Raw genomic sequence first — 23,010 nt, 5'->3', positions numbered from 1 at the left:
TCTTATATTTTGAAATCATTAATTTCTGCTTTTTGAGGTAAGTTTAATTTACTGTAGCAGAGAAGAGCTCTGTAATTACAAAGTGTGTCATTATTAAACACCAAATAGCATTATCCTCCACTATTTAATATACTCTTCTGTTTCACTGATTTCCATATTGGGCCAACAAGTATTAAAGAATTTAACTTCTTTAAGCTTTCTGATCTTTTATTTTACATTTAACACTTATCTGAAAAGGAGCCAGTGCAGAAACACCCCGGTCTGTCTTAGTGTCATGATCCTGAAGTTGGGAGGCAGTCCTCAGGGCTTCCAGCTTTGCTCCAGGCTGTTTGCAGACAGTGCTACCCTTTGGGGTGTCCACACCCCAGCAGGGGAAACCGCTCTTTAGGAATGGCAGCTGGTGGTTAGAACGCAGCCAGGAGCACCGTCCACCCCGAGAGTGCCCCTGGTGTCTACCCACACCCCAGCTGGCTCAGCGGGGACAGGGCTTTCTCTCTCCCTTATGGAGCCAAGGCCAGAGGCCTCCTTTGCACAGATCCCAAGATACAGGAAAGAGACCAGGCCAGGACATTTTCTACAAGACTCCTCTTTTCAGGTCAACTGATCCTACTGATCCAACTGAGAAGTCCCAGAAGATGAACCCCCAGGCAATAGTGCAGGGACCATCTCATTTACAGTTAAGATTCAACAAGAAACATGGAAGATTACAGACTGGGTTTAGGTCCACCGGCTAGCGGGCAAGCGGCCAACATTATTTTATGCAATATTATAAAAGAAACACAAGCACACTAACAAGTATTGATAAGTTCACTACTTAGGAACTTATCTGTATATTTACTCAACAGAACAGAACTATCTAGAAGCTCAACGTCTAATAAAAATTCCCAACTAGTAATTTTTATTCTAAAGCTTTTGGCATAATATGTAATTGCCAGAATAAATTTAGTTTACAAATATTAAGTCTCTATTTCCTTCAAGAAGCTTGAAAAATAATGAATGAATGAATGAATGAATGAATGAATGAAGCAAGTTAACAGCAACAGCTGTTAGCCCCTCTGTGTGCTCTCCCTCGGCCCCAAAATCACAACTGGGAAAATTTGAGCAAGGCCCTGGCTTAGACTGTTGGTCTTCCTCGGAGCTCCTGGGCCCTTTTCTTCCTTCTCCCCTCTCTCTAGGTTACATGATGGATGTCCAAACTTAGGTATCCACAGGTTAAAAATGTAGGTAACTAAGTAAACCTTGAAATCTGGGGAGTTAATTCTTGTTTTATAGATGTCACACGTTAACTGATGCCAGGCAGGTTGACCAATGCCTACCCTTCCATGAACACCTTTGCTTTTTTCAAACTTACTCTCAAAATTAGAAAGAAAATTTGCTGCATGTTGTCTAAGACCAGATCCCTTCCAGTTATAGATGACTAGAACCCAAATATTCTTCTCAACCCAGTGACATGTCAAATCCATGAGTTGCCTAAAAGAAACAATGAAGACTAAAACCATGCTGCTGCCTAAGGTGTGAACTCAACATTCTATACGTAATTTAATCGACACTTGCTTAGCCAGAGCTCTTCAAGATTCTATAGGGCTTTAAAAGGTTAAAAAACAAGTTATCCCTCAGTTTCTTAGGATCTTTCTAATGAACATTAATGATCTTATGTCAGTTCTGCAGCCATAGGAAGGATGGGCCCTGTCCTGAGGCTCTTGGCCTCAATAAGGTAGTCTTCAAGGCACCAGGACACATTTTCCTGAGCTGCTCACAACAACCTAGGGTGGTGTAAACAATGTAACTATTCCCATCTCTCTTCCTGTTAGGGTAGCAGGTTCCAGAGTGCTGCCTGCCTGCCATCCAAGGCCATACCTCCCTCTACAGGTGTAACAACCATAACCCCTTGGTCTGGAAATGGAAGGAGTGTCCCTTCCAGGGGTGTGAAACACAAGTTCAGGTGCACTCCTGCTCGCCCTCACACTGCCCAGTGCCATTAGCCCCTTCCGCTCCTGCATCCTGTCGAGAGAGGGACCAAGTTTATCAAGCACCTTCCCAAACATTCTCATTCACATAATTGAAATTATGTCACACTAAACTAAAATCTATTTGGTACTTAAATGAGAGATGAACTCCTGTTATCTAAACACCATATCTAACCCGTTCTTCCCGATGATGGTGCTTTACTATCTAGCCACAGAATAAACAGTTCAGATGCCTAAAGCTAAGTCAAGTCATTAGCTTTTACTTACCTGACGGCATGTTTTCAACGTGCTCAGCCCAGATCACTATCTCTGGATTACTTTCTCCTTCCAATAAGGCCCTGTAAAAATAATTTACAAACATAATTCATTAGGAAACGAAAGAGTAAGAAGTGCCTCTAATAAAACGTATCGTGGTATGCGGCCAATGACCATAGTGTCACCTGTTTTAGGACTTCTACCTGAAGAGGAGACTTGGGCAGGGCTGCACCATAGGGCTGGCAAGCCCACCCACCAGCCTCAGCAGACCTGGGCCAGGCCACCTGCTCTGCTCACCGCCACATCCCTGGCAGCCAGCATGGCGCTCAACCCCTACTAGCCCAGTGAACAAAATGACCAGGCCAGGGCTTCGGCAGTACTGGCGAGCCAAGCCCTTCTAGAAAGCTTTCTCAGTCCAGGGTGAAGAGGAGCAGGAGCAAGGGGGCACTGGAGAGATGTGGGCCCCAGGCTAGAGGGCCCCAGAGCAGCTACACCCCCCACTGGGTTCTTCCTGGAGTCACAGCTGGTGGGGGCAGCTTGCAGAGGGCTGACCAGGAGACGGCAGGGACTGACACTTATAAGGCAGCCAGACTGCATCTGTGGTTTCAAACTGCATTCCAGGGGGTCACCTTGGAGACGACAAAAAGAAGTAGAAGGCAGGCAGACGGAAAAGGTAGTGCTAAAGCGCCCCCCGTCAGTAGCCCCTCCCCATGCCACCCCCAGGGGCCTCACTTCATCCAAATTGGCATCCTGTTATCTCCTTTAATAAAATGGTGAGAAGTACCCAACAAGGTGATTTCTTTGACTATGTCTGCGCCAAAGTTCTAAAATTATAGAAGTTTCATTAGGTTGTTCACGTCTACTGCTTCAGATCCCAGAGCTGAGGAGAGTGGTCCCAGCAGACCCAGCCTGCTGGCGAGGGGCTTAGCACCGGGATGCCTGTCAGCCAGTCACTCGCGAAGACCCCTTGGGCTGCTGGCAGCTCTGGGTGCAACAGTTTCTCAGTTGCTAGAGCAACATGTGAAGTCACTAACTCCGGTTCCAAGAAATACACTGCACACGGCAAAAGGCATCCAGAACAAGAGCCCACTGAGAAATGCCAATCTTATGGCTGAGAGCTGGGCACAAAAACGGAGCAGGGTGCCCACACCCGAGCAGGGACTTGGCAGCTTGGACAAACTGCACTGAGTTGTATTTCCATCTGTTGAAACATGGTGAGCCCCATGAACACGAGAGCCCTGTGAGCAGCTGGAAGAAAGCAAAGGAGGCATGAGGCACTCTCGCGAAGGCGCACACAGCGGGCCTGCCCCGGCGCAGTGACTGCGGGATGCTTGTGTGTGGACGGGGCATGTGCAGAGGCCCGAGTCCAGAGCCCCAGCCCTTCGCTCAGGGCAGAGGCCAGGAAACAGGACACCAACCCATTAATCCCACGCCCTCATGACCAAGCATTGTAGGTTCCAGGAACGCAAACAGCTTTCACTGCTGAGAAAGTTCTGAGGTCTATATAATCAGAGGAACATTCGGGGTAAAAGCCAGGCCCCAAGGCTCTGCACCCCAGGATGACGGCAGCAGAAGGGGTGGCGTCCTGCAGCTGAGGAGCCAGGGCAGGGCGTGGGGAGAAAGACTAGGTTCTAGTTCAGATCCTCCCGGCCTGGCTCAGCTGTGAACCTCGGGTACCACGGGGCCTCTCCCTTGAGCTGCCCAAGTTAGAACGGAAGGTATGTTGCTGTCCAGGGAAAAATACGTCTTCCCCACCCTCCAAAGGGAATGCATCTGCTCCTCTTCCAGAATTCCAAAGCATCACCAAACCTTCATAGAGTTCAGGACCCACACGAAACAGGCACCAGCCCTGCGTGGGGCTTCTGGCTGGGTTCAGGGGACAAGATACAGCCCCACAGCTTCCCCTTTCTAGGCCTTTACCATCCCTGGCTGACACTGAGCACCAGGCATTGTGGTCACTCATGTACTTACACCGTCGAAGCCACCCCCAACACAGGGCCTGTGGCTGCATCCTCGCTCTAGAGGTGAGAAGACTGGGGTGCAGAGACAGCGTCTTGGTCAAGGGCATACGGCTCACCAGTAAAGAGAAAAATGCAAACCCAGGCAGCCTGAGCTCTCAGCCCCCTCCCCTGCGATACCACTAGGCCTCCCAGTGAGGCCAGAGACCATGGTATTGCACACAAATTTCAGAAAGCACAAATCCTACAGATAGACCCTCCGGGCCATATTAATGAAAATAAATTCTCTTGGTGATTTCATCCAAAATGGCCCTGCAGAGCTCTCCTATAAGTAAGAAGCTCCTGCTGGAGAAGGAGCTATCCCTCATCTGTGTCCCTTCTCAATGGCCGGATCCTAGCAGGCAGCGACACATGTCACCTTTACTATCTGTGAGCACCCGGCTGGGCACTGGCCATTGAGTTCATGCTTTGGGTAGCACATCCAGCCCAATGGCAGCCACCCTCCTTCCGCACAGCCCCAGGACTACACGGCGAAAGCATCAACAAGACTCTGAGGAGAAGCCAGAAACCACGACTTCCTCTAAAGCTCTGCAAGGGACATTTTTAAGGAATAGGTTCGTACCACTTTAAGAAATGGGTAGCATGTTCTCTGAGGCTGCAATCAAACCTGGTTATTTTGAGAGCGGTGGAGGAAATCTGCCCCCAAGCCTCGGGGACTGTGAGAAATGCCAATCCCCTGAGTCATGGGCTATTGTGGGCATTTCACACAGCTCCACAGGTTGGTGGCCCCTTATGCAGGAAAATAAGCAAAAGTGCAAGAAAACTCAAGTCCCTGGCCTCATTAAGGAGCCCAGGACAAACCCACAGTGCAGAAGCCGGCTGTCATGTGGCCTCTGGCCAGGCGCCAGGCCCTAATGGGCCACCCGGCGTCCTGAGCAGGCTCCAAGGCAAGGCTCTCTGTCTGGGATAGATTATCCTAATGGAATTGCTGAACAATCCGCCGTGACTCAGCACCGTGGGCACAAGGCCACTGCTCTGTGCAGCCCCATAAATGAGGCACTGTCAGGATGTTCCCAGAAGCCGTGTCTGTGCGGGAGCCTGCTGGGGCCGGGGCCGGGGCCTGTGGGTGATTCACGGGGTGCTTCCTAGCAAACAGCAGGTGGAGAAGTGCAGAGAAGAAAGGGAGGCTCCGGAGCTGGAGAAGGAGCCGCAGAGCCGCCTCCCTCGACTCCTCACTGCGACAGAGGAAGCCAAGCTCCACACAGAGTGGACGCACTGCCTGGGTCACCCCAGATGCGGGCCCGTGGCTGGTCAGTCACCGGGAAGACCAGGGAACAGAAGGGAGGGGGCAGAGGGGAGTTCCATTCCCATGACCAGCAACGCCACCTGAACGGGAAAGGTGAGACCACCGGCTTCACAGGAAGGATAACAGGAGGTAACGTGGCAGTGCTGGGCCATTTCCGGGCATCGCTTCTGGGGTCAGTATTCAACCACATCCCAGAGCCATCTCTAGGTCAATACTAGAGACTGAAAAAAAAAAAAACCAGATAATCAACAGAGACAAACATCACTCATAAAACAGAGAGGAAGCAAGCGCAGGACAAAGTTCTGGAGTCAGGATGTCTGGATTCAGATCTGAGACCTGCCACTTCCTAGTTCTGTGACCCTGGCAGGCCGCTCAAACCCACTGTGACTCAGTTTCCCTATTTCTGAAATGGAGAGAACTCACAGGTTTGCAGTAGGAATTAATCAAGAAGCAGAAAGTTCTCAGAACCATGGCTGTCACAGAGTAAGAGCTCACTAAACATCAGCGATCACGTCGTCCCCACCTCCTTCTACATCCTCCAAAGAAAACTGATTTCCAGCTAACTAAAATGAGTCAACAAGGGAAGGGACTGTGGACCATCTGTATTTTATAGTTAACTGAATGTTAACTCATTTATTTGACCAGCAACCAAAGGTACTGGTCGATCCTTTCAATTATATATTCTATTTATTTATTTATGTAGAGACAGGATCTTGCTCTGTCGCCCAGGCTGGAGTGCAGTGGTGCCATCTCAGCTCACGGCAATCTCTGCCTCCTGGGCTTAGGTGATCCTCCCACCTCAGCCTCCCAAGTAGCTGGGACTACAGGCACGTGCCACCACACCCAAATAGTTGTTTTTGTATCGTTTGTAGAGATGGGGTTTCACCATGTTGCCCAGGCTGGTCTCCAACTCCTGGGCTCAAACGATCCACCTGCCTCAGCCTCCCAAAGTGCTAGGATTACAGGCGTGAGCCACCATGCCCAACTCTATTCTTACAACTACAAGATTTTTATTCACTTCAAGTATTTTATCTAGTAACTAGATAAGTCTCAGTGTTCACACATTTTTATAAGTCTTCCAAAAAAAGGTGGGAACTAACTTAAAAAAACAAAATGTACTTCTGCAAAACCTTGAGGAAACCCCTAAGAAACGTTTTCCTTTGAATAGACACGTGAAAAGGTACAGGTGGCCTAAAAAATAATGGAGCAATCAGAAATATCACTAGAATGATGAGATGTAAACATTAGGAGTCCTCTGTGTTGCTACATTAGCAGTCTACATGGAGACCAGAGACATCATATTTTTCTCCATTAAAACACGCTGCTTCTGCCAACTGGGATCAGAAAGAAGAAACAGGAAGCTTCCCATGCCCTTCCCAGCACACACAATATTTTTTGATGTTGTTGTTTCTAACCTAACCTTTTAAAAGGACTTTTGCCTGAAAGGCCCCAGGCAGTAAATAAATCTCTGCATTGCATTTTCCTATCTGCCGAGGTAAGGCCTCCTTCGATTTTTCTACTGAAAAATCATTTTGACCCAGCTTTCCATTTTTTCTTTCAGGTGAAATTTAGAACAATTATCATATCTTTCATCCCCAAAACATAGAACACAAAAGCCTCTTTCTGGATTCTTACAGAGACCGCGTTGTCTGTCTTCCAGACCAGAAACCTAGGATGGGCCTCATGTCACGCACACTGTTTCTGCATCCTTCTGTTCTGTGGTTTCTGCACTGTCTACCCCTGGGTATTCTTGCATTTGTTGTTTCAATATTGAGTATCTTTTCTGAAAGGTTCTGTTTTCTAACAGCTTCTTGCTGATCATTGGGCTCTATGCTGAGTGTGTGTATGGGGAAGCTGTTTCTTTTCTATCTGTGCTTCTGCACGTCCTCACTCTGTAGGATCTGGACCAGGTCTTCACATCGGCAGTGAGAGGGTTTGGGGCGCTGCAGGTTCTGGACATTGCTAGGGTTTTCACCATCTCATCATCAATTATCATCCGATTATTCACAAGCACCTGCTTTACCGACTCTGTGCTAGCCTGCAGCGAGTGACAGCGGCACGTGTCTCTCATACTTCCTTACCTCTCAGCTCCTCAGGCTCCTCCCTCCTACCACAGCCACCTCCATCAGGTCTGCACGCCTGGGCGCTAGCGACTGCAGGAAACTCTGGAAGCCTCCCTGCAGCCACCCAGACACCCCATCCACCCCAGCACTGCAGGCCTCCTGCACTCTGCCTGCAGCTGCCTCCCCAGCACTGCCTACCCCCTCCACAGTGCTGGCCCTGGGACTGCCCCTGCATGCCACAGAAAGCCCCACTGCAGCTTCCCAGCGTTCAAGGCCCCTGCACTCTGCCTCATTCCCAGACCTCTCCTCACTCCCCTTGCAAGTTCCTCCCTCAACTTATTCTCTTATTCAAACTTGCCCACCCGGAGCTCCTTCCTGATTCCTTTCTGCCAGTCCAATTCCCATCTCCCCACTTCCCCCACCACCCAAAGGCCCAAACCCCACATCCCTTTGCAAATCTCTTCTCATCACCTCAGTCTGAAGTGCTCCATCCGGCAGTGACCCATGGATAGCTTTCCCTGTTAGGGGGCAGTGAACCATCGACACTACCCCCTAGGAATGTGCATTCCATTACTGGAATATGCTTGACTTTCTACCTCAACATACTGTGTCCCTCCTGCCACACTACCCCCTATAGTCCCTCTCCCTCTCTCCTCTGTGTCTGCTCACACTTCCCCGTCTTTCAAGACCTTCATCAATCTTCAATCCCTCTAGAAGCCTCCCCTGATTCTCACAACTCCCTCCCCATCACCAGAAGCCTCGTGCTGGAGTCTTTTGCAGCTCTTCAGGTTCCCTGCTGTGTAGCAGGCTCCCCAGATCCATGCTGCCTCATCTACAGCCCATGTTCCTTGACGTGAAGCCCACACTGGCAGTGTCTTTGCAGGCCCCCACCCAGCATCGTATCCTGCATATCAATTGTCTCCAGAGAAGGCTGAGGGCAGGTGTGGCTCTTACCCATCCATCACACGTGGCCCTCCATGACACGCCCCCAAAGCCCAGCTGCCCAGAGACGGGCACTGTCATAAATACCACACTAGCACAGTCCTCAGGGCCTCCCCCTGGCCATTCCCTCTGCCTGGAAAACCCTTTCCAAAAAGTCATTTCCAGCTTCTCTTCCTACAAGAATCAAGCATTGCCTCTTCAGGAAGCCCTCCCTGCGTGCCTCATCAGCCTCCCTCCCACTGCACCCGACACATCATCATCCTACCACTGAGGACAGGGACTAGGTCCACACCATCATCTGCCCAGCATCCCAGTACATCCAGCTCCTTTCTAATTCCACGTTCAACAGGGCATGGAGGGAACAGCCTTGGGTGAAGGCCTGAAGTTAAAATCTCAGGCTCTCCAATTACGAGTTGTGTAACGTTTTAAGTAACCTCCTTGAACGTGGGTGTCATCACATGGAAAAAAAGCTTCTTTGGTGAAGCTATAAAAATTGCAGATACAGTCTACAAAGCGCTTAGCACATGGTAGGTACTAAACAGAAGGCAGCTGTCACTCCCTGTCACCCATTCATGGTCAGAGATAATGGCACCTACTTTGGAATGCATCAGAAAGTAAGATGGATGATGACACGGGGTGGACAGTCATGAGATAAAGCAAATGTAGTCGCATGTTCACTGGAGAACTCAAATGGAGCATTCGTTATTCTTCCAACTTTTCTTATCTTTGGAAATTCTCATAACAAAATGTTGGGAAAACTAGATAAAGTATTCATTTTGACATGACTCTGCAAAACAAGACTTAAGAGGAATGAGTTGTGTTGCTCATCTCGGGTGTTCAGAGCTTCAGATTCTGTCCAATCCAAGTCATCACCTTCTCTAAAGTGTGGCCTCTCCATATGGCTCCACAGGATTCTGTGACCTCGGACAGGCCCAGGGCAGCTCTAAGGGGACTGCCGCATGCAACTGCAAGCAGCCCAGACTGGCGCGTGGGTCCTGGTGCAAGCCCCGCCTCCCACTGTGACTGCTTCCCCTCTCCTCCATCAACCCATCCTTCATCTTGTCTTCCAGGCTGCTGTGAGAAGACCTAGCACTTACCTGCGCCTGGGCCACTCTGCCAACAGCAGTGTGCGCACGAATCACCTGGGATTTTGTTACGAGGCCAACTTCGGTCCAGTATGTCTGGGTGGGCCCAAGATTCTGCATTCCCAACAAACTTGCAATGCCTCACAATGCGCATGCTGCCGCCCTGTGAGCTGTGAGGCCCTGGACCGGGGATTCTCCACCCTGGTGGTACCTGACAATCATCCAGGGAGGTTTGAAACCACTGTGCCGGTTCCACCTGTCACTAACCTCATCAGAATCTTGAGGGCCGGGAGATTCGCAGGTGCAGTCCCTCCCTGTCCCCGAGCATGTTTCCCTTACCATTCTGCTGCTAGTGCAATAAAACGCACACTCCAGGCAAGACCCTGTGATCATACAGCAAATGGATCAGTACCTCGAGCCCCACACAACTGCCGCTACTCTTGACAGGAGACAAGAGCCAGTACAGCCTGGTGCCAGCTGCAGGCAGGGTGTGTCTCCTCTCTTCTCAGTATCCATGGCCCCACGCCCAGCCCCACAGCTCCCGCTCACTGCCACCCGCAATGCAGGAGGAAAGGGAGGGATGGTGCTGCACGTCTTAGGATGCTCAGAGGTCTCGATCTCATCTTCACCTGCCAGGCGAGCTGCCAGCAGCTTCCCTGGCCATGCACTGGCCAAAGGCAAAACCCCAGTCTTAGACTCTTGGAGGTTTGCTTTGTTTTAATTTTATTATCTTATGTTTATTTTATTAAATTATATATTTATTTATAAATTGCAAGTCTCTCTGGAAATTACAAGTATACAATTATATTATTTTATGATTACTTTAATGTTGCTCCTTCCCTGTGACAGTCACCTAGAAGGGCCAAAGATCTGGGTTGGGAGGTGTTCAGTACATTTGAGAGTCCTTGGGACAATGGACAAATCCCAGCAAAACGTGCTTTAAGCATTAAAGAGCCACAGTCCCTTCCCTTGCATGTGAATGAGAACCAATAAGCCACAGGATGATGACAGTCAACTCAGCAATTCTGGGGCAACGGCCACCACAGGTGGGTCAAGGTTTGCAGAGATCAAATGAGCACTTTAGTTAAAGAATAAGGGTCAGAAGAGCGCAAGTCCACGAACACAAACAGGAACTTCACACCTGTCCTCCGAATCGGAGCAGTGCAGACTACTGAGCAAGACTCACATCGAGGATGACGAGGGTTTGTCTTCCAGACATGCACTGGTGATTTTCAAAAATGGTAAGTTTTTGGCTTATACAAAAGAATGGGTTCTATTCAACCATCTGTATGTCTTCTTCGTCAACGGGCATCTCCGAGACTATACCGGAGCACAGAGGCGGGAGGCCTGCAGCGATCCTACCCAGCAGGGCTGGGAGTCTGCAGCGGGGCAGGGCCTGTCAGGCAAGCTCCTGGCAGGGTCCTCATTTTCCCCATGCAAACTTGGACAGCAGAAAGAGGTACAGTGAAATCCATCGCTTGCTCCCCTGAAAGCACGAGTAGCTCCTAAATTCCTAGGAGATGGCCACATCAATCCATAATCGGGTTAGGGAAACGCCAGCCATAGACAGACAAAATAAACTCTGTCCTGGCTGACAGACTGCTGACAGTGAGCAGAAACGGCTCGCGATCGATGCCCTGAAAAGCTGGGCCCGTGGCTTGTGAATACCCTACCAAAAAGGCAGGCCCCGTGGCTTGTGAATACCCTACCAAAAAGGCAGGCCCCGGACTCTGAGGCAGGATGCCCATGTTTACACTGGCTTTTCAGGATGGAGAACAGGGGGCAGGACGAAGTAGGGAAGAAAAGAGCTCAAAATTCCAAAGGCAAGGCACAAAATAAGTTTCCTGATTCTAACTCAGAGAACTATTACAGAAAGAAAATAGAAAAATCCAACTGCCCTGCAGGGAAAAGATTCATCTGGCATGGGGCATTACCTAACACACAGAAGTCAGTTTTCCAGGCCTGCCTGGCATCTGCCCTAGAACAGTGCCTGATTTGGGGTAACTCCCACCACCCCAGTCTCAGTCCATGTGACTCATAAGAGGCTGGGACCCCAACCCAAAGCTCTAGAGCCCTACATTCCTCTGGCCAGTGATGGGCTCAGAGGCAGGAACATGACCCAGCAGAGATGGAGAGGCCGAGAGGATGACCACGGGCACGAGACTGGGTGGCCCTAAGCCTGGAGCTGTTCGGGCCCCACCCAGCCACGTGGTGGGAAGAGTCCAGAAGAGAGAGACCATCCCGCCATGTGGACCAGCTGTACCTGAAACTAAGGATTTGATACGGTTTGGATGTGTGTCTTCTCCTAATCTCATGTTGAAATGTGACCTCCGTGTTGAAGGTGGGGCCTAGAGGAAGGTGTTTGGGTTATGGGGGGGATCGCTCATCAATGGCTTCGTGCTGTCCTCTCAGTAATGAGTGAGTTCTCACTCTATGAGTCCACATGAGATCTGGTTGTTTAAAAGAACCCAGCACCGGCTAGGCACAGGGGCTCATGCCTGTAATCCCAGCACTTTGAGAGGCTGAGGCGGGTGGATCACAAGGTCAGGAGTTCAATACCAGCCTGGCCAATATGGTGAAACCCCGTCTTTACTAAAAATACAAGAATTAGCCAGGCATGGTGGCAGGTGCCTGTAGTCCCAGCTACTCGGGAGGCTGAGGCAGGAGAATCAGGAGAATTGCTTGAACCCGTGAGGTAGAGGTTGCAGTGAGCCAAGATCGCACCACCACACTCCAGCCTGGGTGACAGAGTGAGACTCCATGTCAAAAAGAAAAAAAAAGAACCTGACACCTCCCCACTCTCTTGCTCGCTCTCTTGCCATGTGACATGCCTGCTGCCCTTTCACCTTCCACCATGACTGTATGCTTCCTGAGGCTTCACCAGGAGCAGATGCCAGCACCACGATTCCGGTACAGCCTGCACAACTGTGGGCCAAAATAAACCTCTTTTCTTTGCAAATTATCCAGTCTCAGTTATTCCTTCATAACACAGAGTAGACCAGCACAAGACTTTCAGGTATATGAGTAATAAATTCTTTTTCTGACTTGGGGCAGTCTGAGGAGAGTTTCTGTCACTCACAAATGAAAAATTCCTGATTAATGCTTTCTTCCCCCAAATAAAGCCCGAGTGTTTTCAAGTTTTCCATATTAAAGTTTAGATCATCTAACTCAACGTGTGTTTCAATGCCCTACCAATTTAATTGTGCAACTGTTCACCCCACAAGATTTCCAAGGAGAATGCCAACAATGGGCTTTGGGAAGTCCAGTCTGGCAACATCTTTTCCCCTTTCTCTGAGCCCCGGCCACCAGCCCCTCAGTGGCAGCAAGGCTCTCAAATGGGGGATCCAGAAAGGCCCTCATGGCCTTAGCCCCAGGACCACCCCTCAATTCATCCCTTGGTGAAGCCGTGGCTCCTCCATGGACTCCATGTCCCTGGGAAGGCCTCACCCCTTAGCAGCCTCCTGGGGCCCAGGCCAGGGGCTGCCTGATAGAGCTGCTCCCTCTTCACTGATGGGAGTGAGGGCTCAGATGAACCCTGGCTGATGTAAGTCTTCCAGAAAATAAAGACAGTGAGGCCGGCCCAGGCTGCAATGTAAACTACAAGCAACGTATCAGCCAGATACCCTTTTAATAGACATCAAAGCAATTCAGGTCACCTTGATATTCTTAGAGCAAAAAATCCTGATCAGGGCCGGGCGCAGTGGCTCACACCTGTAATCTCAGCACTTTGTGGCGGCGAGGTGGGTGGATCACCTGAGGTCAGGAGTTCGAGACCAGCCTGACCAACAAGGTGAAACCCTGTCTCTACTAAAAATACAAAAATCAGCCAGGAATGGTGGCAGGGGCCTGTAGTCCCAGCTACTCAGGAGGCTGAAACAGAATTGCTTGAACCCAGGAGGCGGAGGTTGCAGTGAGCTGAGCTCGTGCCACTGCATGCCAGCCTAGGAGATGGAGCAAGACTCCATCTCAAAAAAAAAAAAATAGAATAAAATAAATAAAATTAAAATTAAAATAAAAAATAATAAAAAAAATGAAAAAAAAAATCATGATCAGAAGATTACACAGGCAGCCTACAAGATGTGCTGAACTAGGCCTGGGGATGGTCCCTGCTCTACCCCTCACCAGGGGAGTTGGTCCCCTTCTTAACCTCTCCAGGTTTAATCTGCCACCTGTGAAGGAGACACCACTGGAGATGACCAGACTTTGACTCTTCTGCCAAAGCGGTTTCCACAGCTTGCTCACACCCTCCACTGCCACATGTTCCACAATCCTGGGAACGGAGCAGGCACTGTGCCCTTTTTACACGGCTTGGTGGGGATGGCACAGCTTTGGCACCAGACCTGGCTGGCTCTGCCCCTCACCAGCCTGCAGCCCCAACCTCCCGGCCTCTCTCTCTCACCTCTAAGAGGGGAGAGTGGTGCCCACCTCAGAGTTGACTCGGAGCAGAGAATAGTGGCAAAGAACTCAGCACCACGTCTGGCAGGCAGTAAGGACGCCATAAAGCTGGCTATTGTTAGTGTTCCTGAAGTTGGGCAACTGGGTCTCTAAAATTCCTTCCACTGTAAGCGTCACAGACCCTGGCTCCTTCATAGCTGCCCTGAGCATGAGAGCTGCCAGGAAACAAGGGGCACCACCTCAATCAAAGACGCACTGGCACCCAGGGGAAAGGAGGGTGATGCCAAGGAGGGGAGGAGCACTGTTCCGCCGGCCTGCAGGCCACACCCAGGGGGACTGGACTGCATTCTCTGCCCCACCCAGCACCCAGCCCCTTTGAGCGCTTTGTGACCTTTTCATCAGAGTTGGTTACCTTGAACTCAAGTCAACATCTTGATACATAAAGCCAGTTGGCCTACATTAGCATGCACCATGCTAATCTCTTGGAAGAGATTCAGTTCAGGGCCAAACCCACACAGGGTGGCATCAGAGCCCTGAGATTCAAAGCAACAATCAAGCAGATAGACACAGACTTCCTGGGTCCAAATCCTGTGACACGGTTTGGCTCTGGGTCCCCACCCAAACCTCATCTCGATTTGTAACCCCCACGTGTTGAGGGAGGGACCTGGTGGGAGGTGACTGGATCATGGGAGCAATTTTCCCCACGCTGTTCTCATGATAGGGAGTGAGTTCTCATGAGATCTGATGCTTTAAAAGTGGCAGTTTCCCCTGAGCTCTCTCTCTCTCCTGCCACCTTCTGAAGAAGGTTCTTGCTTCTCCTTTGCCTTCCGCCACGATTGTAAGTTTCCTGAGGCCTCCCCAGCCCTGCGGAATAACTGTGAGTCAATTAAACCTCTTTCCTTTGTAAATTACCCAGGCTCAGGTAGGATCTTTATAGCGGTGTGAAAACACACTAACACATCCTGGCCCTCCACTTTCCAGTTCTGTAACTTCTCTGAGCAAAGTCTGTTCATCTGTAAACACAGTCTCCAGTTCCTAGGATCCAACACGTTGACATGTGTGAAGCTCTTCAGCAGTCCCCAGAACATACAAACACTAGGTAAGGGGGCACGGCTCAGCTACTCCCTTGCTGGAGACACCTGCTCAGTGACCTAAGCAAGCCCTACTCTTCCTCTTCCTTTTGGCCTCGGACTCCTTGCCTGGCCATGCCAAGGGCTGCTCTCTGCTTGTCACAAAGCCACAGTGACTCCACAAAGGCTACGGTCCCTAGACCAGTTTCCTTCATGTGCAAGTTACACCCCCATGGCTTCGTCAAGGCCAACTCAGCACAGTCTCCTTACCGGTAGGTCGCCACCTCCAGACTGAGGCCGGTCTTCACCTGCAGGAGGTCCTGATAGTCCCGCAGCCAGTCAGCCATGGCCAAGGTGAGGGTTGCCTTCTCATCCTCCAGGCAGTCAATCACTCTCTAAAGAGAATAGACAGACTTTTATATCAGAGAACTGGAGCTTTACTGGGTCGAACTGAAGGTACCAACAATTCAGGATCGAATTGAAAAACAGACCAGGGTTATTAGCAGACCAGAAAAACACCCGGCGTTATTAAACATGCAGTCACTTGCAGGATGGTTTCCAATGTTGTATCTCTTCCATATGGAAGTTTTTTATTGCATGTGGAACATTTTGATAGGACACTGGCTTCTCTGTTCAGACTCTCTATTAATAATGAATGCTTAGGAGTTTATTCAAATCATCTCTACCGTTTAGACATCAGGCTGCTTAGGAGAGCCAGTGCTTCAAACCAGTCACTAAGACGCTATGGAAAATAAGCCAAGACTAGAAATCAGGGGTTTTACAATATTCAAAACATAAGTCACTCAGAATTGAACTGAAATGTACTCCCCAAAGTCATGATTTCTCCAACAATAAGCAGGTAAACTGATACAGAGTTTTGTTTCACTTAGAAAAGCTACTTTAAGATCATCTGGGGAGAAATGCATTCTGGGCATAAATGACAAACTACAGACTCAGATATAAAACTTCTTTTTGGGCCTAGCGTGGTGGCTCACACCTATAATCCCAACACTTTGGGAGGCCGAAGCGGGCGGATCACTTGAGGTCGGGAGTTCGAGACCAGCCTGGCCAATATGGCAAAACCCTGTCTCTACTGAAAATACAAAAAATAGCTGGGCATGGTGGCGCAGACCTGTAATCCCAGCTACTCAGGAGGCTGAGGAACAGGAATCACTTGAACTCAGTAGGCGGAGGTTGCAGTGAGCCAAGATCATGCCACTGCACTCCAGCCTGAGCGACAGAGCGAGACTCCACCTCAAAAAATAAAATAAAAATAAATAAAACTGCTTTATGAACCGTAATTGCACAGTGCAGCTAGTAAGGGCGTCCTGGGTGCTCCTCGCAGCTCCCCTCACCCCTGGCCGGGTCCCCGACCTGCCTCTCTACCTGGCAGGGAGATACTGCGGCCTTCTGAATCCCAGACCTAGACCAGTGCCCACCACATACAAGTCACACAGCACATAGCTGCTCAATTAAATTTAAAATGAAATGATCAAGATCATATCACCCTCCTCAAAATGTACTATTTGAAGTCGACAGTATCTTCTCAAACAAACATATGGGCTTCAGCTGCACCGATTTCCAGTTTTGTTTTATTCCTAGTTGTTAGTTACTCTGGGGAACAATTAACCAAGCAAGTATTTAAACATTGAAATAAGTCCATGTACTTTTAACTTCTGGTTTGTAATGGGAAGTAGCATTATTTCTGAACATCATTAACTAAACTAAGCTAGACCTATAAACATTTATCTTTGTAGAATTCAAAAACGGTAAGACTACTGGGAGAGGGAATATTATGTTCATTGCTGCTGGAATCCCTTCACCAAAGGCACCCGGCAAGATGCTGAGGGTCCATAATAAATATGTCTGTGAAACCAAGGAATGAACTCTACAAGATTGCACATGGAATTTATCTTTTTGGTTGTTTTGTTTGTTTTTGGAGACAGTCTCGCTCTGTCACCGAGGCTGGAGTGCAATGGCACAATCTCGGCTCACTGCAGCCTCCACCTCCCAGGTTCAAGTGATTCTCCAGCTTCAGCCTCCCAAGTAGCTGGGACTGTATACAGGCGCCTGCCATCACGCCCAACTGATTTTTGTATTGTTAGTAGAGACGGGGTTTCACCACGTTGGCCAGGATGGTCTTGAACTCCTGACCTCAGGTGATCCTCCCGCCTCAGCCTTGCAAAGTGCTGGGATTATAGGCACAAGCCACTGCACCCAGCCAGAATTTATCATTTTTTAAAATGCATGATCAGCCAATAAATATTCCCACTTCTCATAACAGTTCTATTTCTATGCCAATGATGGCTGTTAGGTTCCCTGAATATAAAGGGTCCTGAAGTAGTTTAAAACCCCTTAGCTTTTAAAGCAAAGAAGTAAACTTAAAAATCACTGGCTTATGTCCCAGGGTGGAAAAACGATAACAGATCCCACAGCTGGCATTACAAACAGAGAAGCTCACCAAAGAGCAACTGCCAGTCTTGATGTAAGTGACAGCACTGCCACAATTTAGCCACAATATTCACACATTCTAGAGTTAAATCTCAATGTCAAAATCCTACATTCCCCTGTTTTAGAGGGAATACAATTCAGGTACAAGGTTCTCATACAAGATGGGCTGTAGGTATGCATGTATGTATGTATGTGTGTCCTTCCTACTACAGGAAATTTGACATAACTATTACAAATTAAAAATTTATAGTAATTTATTCCTTACAAAGAAGTTCAAATGTTGTTAAACTGCTTAGAAAAAAAATACGATGAAAGCTCTCCAACCACAAACCTCCTGAGCAGGTCAAGAAAGCCTAGTCACGTGGAAGGGGTGTGCAGGAAGATACTCCTCCCAGAGCACACAGAATAGTTCTGCACCCACAAAATACAAAGAGGAAAATCAAACTGTGTTGAAGTTGGAATAAGTACAGTTTCAGTCACATTTCCATGTGAGTCAGCTCCTCCTAAATTGTCAAAGGAAAATTAGTTGACGTTTGGAAGCAGGAATATAAGACTTAACTGGCTCCCAGTGGTCTCTGCAGAAATCACAACAAATCCTGCTGTGGAATAAAACTTCAGACTTGGGCTCTGCTTGGCCAGTCAGCAAGCTGTGGGTCAGGACAGAGGCACTGGAGCCCCAGACACGGGACGCTACATCTCACCCGAGCAGAGGCAGTTTCACCTAATGCTGCAAAAGCTTGGGAGAGAGGTCACCTTTTTGCTATTTAGAGAACTTTTGGGCAGCATCACAACCGATGATGAAATCTTGCTCCACACCAGGAAAGGCATGCTGCTGTCAGTATCAAAAGAATTAATTTTCTCTTAGCCAAACTTGAGCTACCGCTCACTGAGCAAGCCTGTGGGACAGTTCACAAATATCACTGTCATTTGCAACCTTGAAAGGTAGAGCTCCAGGGGATTTAAATACTGTGATAACTTCAGCTACACACAAAAATTAAATGTATTCATAACAATAAGCACGAACTGGATGCCGACGAAGTATTTATAGCTTAGCCCAGACAGCACCCTGAACTCAAGTTATATTTTACAATTCCAGGTGGGTGTGTAAGAAGCATCTCAAACTGAACACACGTACATGGAACTTGAATCTCCCACCCAGGCCCGTCCTCCTAACCAATGCCCCGCAGTAAAGCGTATAAGAGGTACCGGAAGTAGCTCCCAGGGTGTATACAATTGGTTCATTCGTTCAACTACCAGCCGTTGAGCATTTAGTGTGCCAAGCGCAGTTCTTCATGGCTGCGGATTCAGCAGTGAAAAATGCCACGTAAAACAAGGAAAGTCCCTTCTTCCAGTTGCTCAGGCCACAACGCCTGAAGTCCACTGTGATTTCTCCCTCTCCCATCACATTCAATCTGGCAGCAAATGCCGTTGGCTTCAACTTGAACGCAGGGGCCCCTCTGAGACCCCTGGTCCAAGCCTCGAGCACTTCCTGCCTGGGTTACTGCAACAATCTCTGAAGGCATCCCTGAGTCCACTCAGTCTATTTTTAAAACAGCAGCAACAGTGATTCCACTAAGCCACAGCCAGGCCCCAACTCTCCTCGGCTCAGAACCTCCAGTGGCTTCCCATGGCACTCAAAGTAAATGCCCAAGTCCTGCAGTGGCCACTCTACCCCCTGTTCACTGTGCCCTAGCCACACCGGCAGCCTGGCTGAGGCATCCCCGAAAAACCACACGCTGTTTCCACCTGAAGGCCTCTCAGGTCAAGGGACTTTCTTTGTTTTACGTGGCATTTTTCACTGCTGAATCTGCAACCATGAAGAACTGAGCTTGGCACACTAAATGCTCAACGGCTGTTAGCTGAACGAATGAACCAGTTGTACACACCCTGGGAGCTACTTCCAGTACCTCGTTTCACAAATGGGGAAACTGAATTGCAGACAGGTTAAGGAACGTAACCTGCCCAAAGAGCGGCAGAGTCAGAATTCAGGGCCAGGTAGGACAGCTGCAGAGCACTGACCCTTAGCTAATCCCATCCTAATCCCACCCCACCTTCCCATCTACAAAAAGCTTTCATTCAATCATGTTTTGGGGGCTTGGAAGCCTTTTCCAGTCAGCCTCAGCAGCTAAGGGCTCACTTTCATAAGCAAAAATCTCCGTGTTTGCAGGGTGAAGCTGGTCTCCACTTTATCGCAAATGTCTTCAAGTGTTTTCTGAAGCCCCCTCCTGCAGCCTGGGTGTGTCACTCAGGCTTCAAGTGATCTAGATCACATTTGGGAACTTGGATGTCAGTTCAGCAAACTCTTCTCGGGCAAATCTGAGGCCAGGCCTGGGGCAGGCCAATGACTACCGCCTCATACAGTGAAGGCGCATGGGCCATCTGGGAAGGACCAGTTTCCCCTCAAGTAGAATCCTAGCAAGCATCTTCCCCCTTGAGCCACAGAAGCTATAGCCAGAGGCAGGGAGAGCTGGGCACAATGTGGCAGCACCCTCTGCTGCCTCCAGCTCCTGCCTCCAGGGGAGGGGGGCATTAAAGCACATGGAACACAGAAAAAAAGAAATGAAAGAAAATAGTTTTAATGCCAAAACTATTCAGCCAGCTGGAGGGGTCTAAAAGCATTTTAGGACTTGAAATCAGCAGAGTACCTCGGGCTAGCCCTTAGGAAGAGCAATTATCATTATGCTATGAATGCAAGAATACTGGTTAAAGGTTTCTCTCTGATCAAACAGACAGAAGAGAGAAACGGACGCCCAGCGGTCAGTTGCTCAGGCACTAGAGCCTGAGTTGAATCCTGGCTTAACTACTTACTAATCAGGTGACTTATGTGCCTCAGCTTCCTCCTCTGTAAAATGGAGCTTATATTAGTACCCACTTCGTAACACTGGTGTGGGCACTGAGAGTGAATATTTGTGAAGGGCATCTGTGGTACCTGGCACACACGAAGCACTTGCTAAAGGCTCTTAGTAATAAGATATTTATTACCATATACTAATTCAACCCATTTTTAGGATTTTTTCACTCTCCCCATAGTAAGCTTCTACAGAACCCGAAAAAAATTACAGGCTTGGGGTTAAATCATCCATACTCCCTCTTTCACATACTTCCTAGCATCTCTGTGATTGGTGCTGAATCTTCTGGAATGCAATTTGAAATGGAGTTGACTTAAGTTAACTGAGGGAAGATTCAGTATATGGACAAGGTAGTGACTGGTAACACTTAGTGCAGTAAAACCTCTGCAAATTGGAACTGGAAAAAAAAAATGGCCGGGCACATGGCTCACACCTGTAATTTCAGCACTGTGGGAGGCCACGGCCGGTGGATCACTTGAGGTCAGGAGTTTGAGACCAGGCTGGCCAACATGGTGAAACCCTGTATCTACTAAAAATACAAAAATTAGCCAGGCGGGGTGGTGGGATCCTGTACTCCCAGCTACTCGGGAGGCTGAGGCACGAGAATCACTTGAGCCCAGGAAGCGGATGTTGCGGTGTGCCGAGATCAGCCACTGCACTCCAGCCTGGGCGACAGAGCAAGACTCCGTCTCAAAAAACCAAAACCAAAACCAAAACCAAAACCAAAAAAAAAACAAAACAAAAAACAAAAAAAAAAACCAGGTCCTTATTGACATTTTCCTCGCTCTTTGCTTTTAGGAAAAAGCAGCAAATTCCAACAAGAGAGAAGTATCACTGGATGGCAAACGGAGAGTGGGGTCCCAGCCTCACTCTGAGGGCAGGTATGACCTCAGGAAAAGCACTTCCCCGGTGGGCCCTGGAGTCCCTGTGTCAAAGGAGGGCTGCACAGGATTCTAACTGCACTTCAAGTCCCCATGTCTCCTCCAGTCAGGGGAACTCTGCTTTCATATGGCTCACATTACGAGTTCCACTGAAGGTTTCATTAGTGGGGAAAAGGGCTTTGCCGCTAAGAAAGAACACTGGAACCAGAATTTGAAGGTCTGAAATGTGCCAAGTGAGCTGTGGCTGTGAACGCATGGTGACGATTTGGTCCACACAGCGTGGCTCAAAGCAGCATTTTCTAAACCTGCCTGCACAGCACAGACCCCTGAGTTGGTAGCGAGGGTTCCCTACAAAGGGGTTCCCTGGGCAGTAGGTTTGACAGATACTCCTTTTTGGAGAGTCAAAATAACCACTGGTCAAATCTCCATGAATGCCACATTAAGGCACTTTTTAACTTTCACTCAACAACGAGTATAGGACCTGTGGAACTCAGACCCCTGGCCACTGTCATTGCAAAGGGACACAAGTGCTCACAAGTGGAAATCGGTACACACTGGGTCAGTCCCTGTCCCTGCTCTAGCTATGGCAAAGCCCCAAGAGAACACTTTGAAAAGTTATGAGGCGGAAGCCAAACAAAACCCACAACTCAAAAGATTAAATCCCAATGTAGTACCATATTGCATTCTATGATTTCCCATCTAGCCTGTAGCTCTTTGCATACTGAAAGTCTAGGGCAGTGCTGGGGACCCAGGGAGAATCAACAGGTATTTACTCATCACCTGTGGATACCTGTCACATCACCGCAGTCATTCCATATGACAACCCCCATGTTCCTCTCACTTCTAATTTTTAAAAGTCAGTCTCAAATCTTTAACTCACAGCTGCAAACTGTACTCTTAAAATATTTGTGAAATTGTGCAGATGTTATTTCCATCTGTCCTTTTGAGAACTACTGATAGTGTGATTTGGGAATATTTCCAATTCTGGCTGAGGCAGGGCAGGGCGAGGGCCAAACGCTAGGGCTGGACTGGGCATAGTTTACATCAGCCACAGGTGTCACCCCGCCGGTGTCAGAGGGTTTGCTTCCCTGAAATAGTAACTGTTTATATCACTCTGCACTTGTAATAACATCCTGCCAAAGGGCCCCACTTTCCCACAACTTTTACACTACGCAGAGATCTGACGTCAGCGTGTGCTGTGAGCAAAACATCTTCGATCAAGCTCTGTTCTGCATGAGGGTTGCTGCCCCTCCCAAGATCAAACAAGGCAGCCGCCCAGAGAGCCACAACTGCGGCTTCCAACTGGGAAATCATATTGGCAAAATAAAAACCGTTTTGGAAATTAATTTGAGTTTTCCCCTGAGGAGCGCTATAGACAGCGGGGCTACCATAAGCCGTCACTTCTGCAAGTGAGAGAGGTTTCTCGGTTGACTCTTAGATCTGGGTCTACTGAGTCTACGGAGCACGGAAAATGGAAGGAAAACCTAGAGCTAACAGGGTGGCCTATCAGGATGCGCCCAGTCACGCTTGTCAAGAGTTAAAGCAGCTGCCACCTAACCCCATGACGAGGACGGGGCTATCCGCTAGGACCTGCCGCCCCGCGCTCGCCCGCTGAGTCGATGGACCAGCGGACCGAGTCCGGGTCCCCATGCCATTCGGGCACCCTCTGGGCGGGCCCTACCGGTCCGCGACGCCGCGCCCCTGGTGAAGGGGCCGCTGCCCCACGCCGTCAAGGGCAGGGTGCTGGGGCGACGGCAGCGGGTATGGGGTCAGCGCGCCATCCCCGCG

At 49.1% G+C, this 23,010-nt stretch overlaps 1 protein-coding gene across 3 annotated transcripts in view, besides 1 other annotated feature; it reads right to left on the bottom strand.

Moving 5' to 3' along the window:
* Positions 1–23,010, bottom strand: part of SYNM (synemin) — a 36,688-nt gene that overhangs the window by 12,741 nt on the left and 937 nt on the right. For all 3 annotated transcript variants that reach the window (XM_017022035.2, NM_145728.3, NM_015286.6), the window contains exons 2-3: positions 15,312–15,436; positions 2,235–2,305 (exon numbers count right to left, since the gene is read on the bottom strand). In XM_017022035.2, the coding sequence (XP_016877524.1) occupies positions 2,235–2,305; positions 15,312–15,436 (196 nt within the window). The remainder of the gene's footprint in view (positions 1–2,234; positions 2,306–15,311; positions 15,437–23,010) is intronic.
* Positions 22,838–23,007: a silencer, noted in NCBI's record as "silent region_6865". NCBI's record gives its function as "represses an Ori minimal core promoter by ATAC-STARR-seq in GM12878 lymphoblastoid cells {active_cell/tissue: GM12878}" and the evidence as "EXISTENCE:reporter gene assay evidence [ECO:0000049][PMID:35858748]".

The sequence above is a fragment of the Homo sapiens genome, chromosome 15 (genome assembly GCF_000001405.40).
Source record: "Homo sapiens chromosome 15, GRCh38.p14 Primary Assembly".
NCBI lineage: Eukaryota > Metazoa > Chordata > Mammalia > Primates > Hominidae > Homo > Homo sapiens.
The sequence above is the reverse complement of the archived record's forward strand: the minus strand, read 5'-3'. Positions and strand labels throughout refer to the sequence as shown.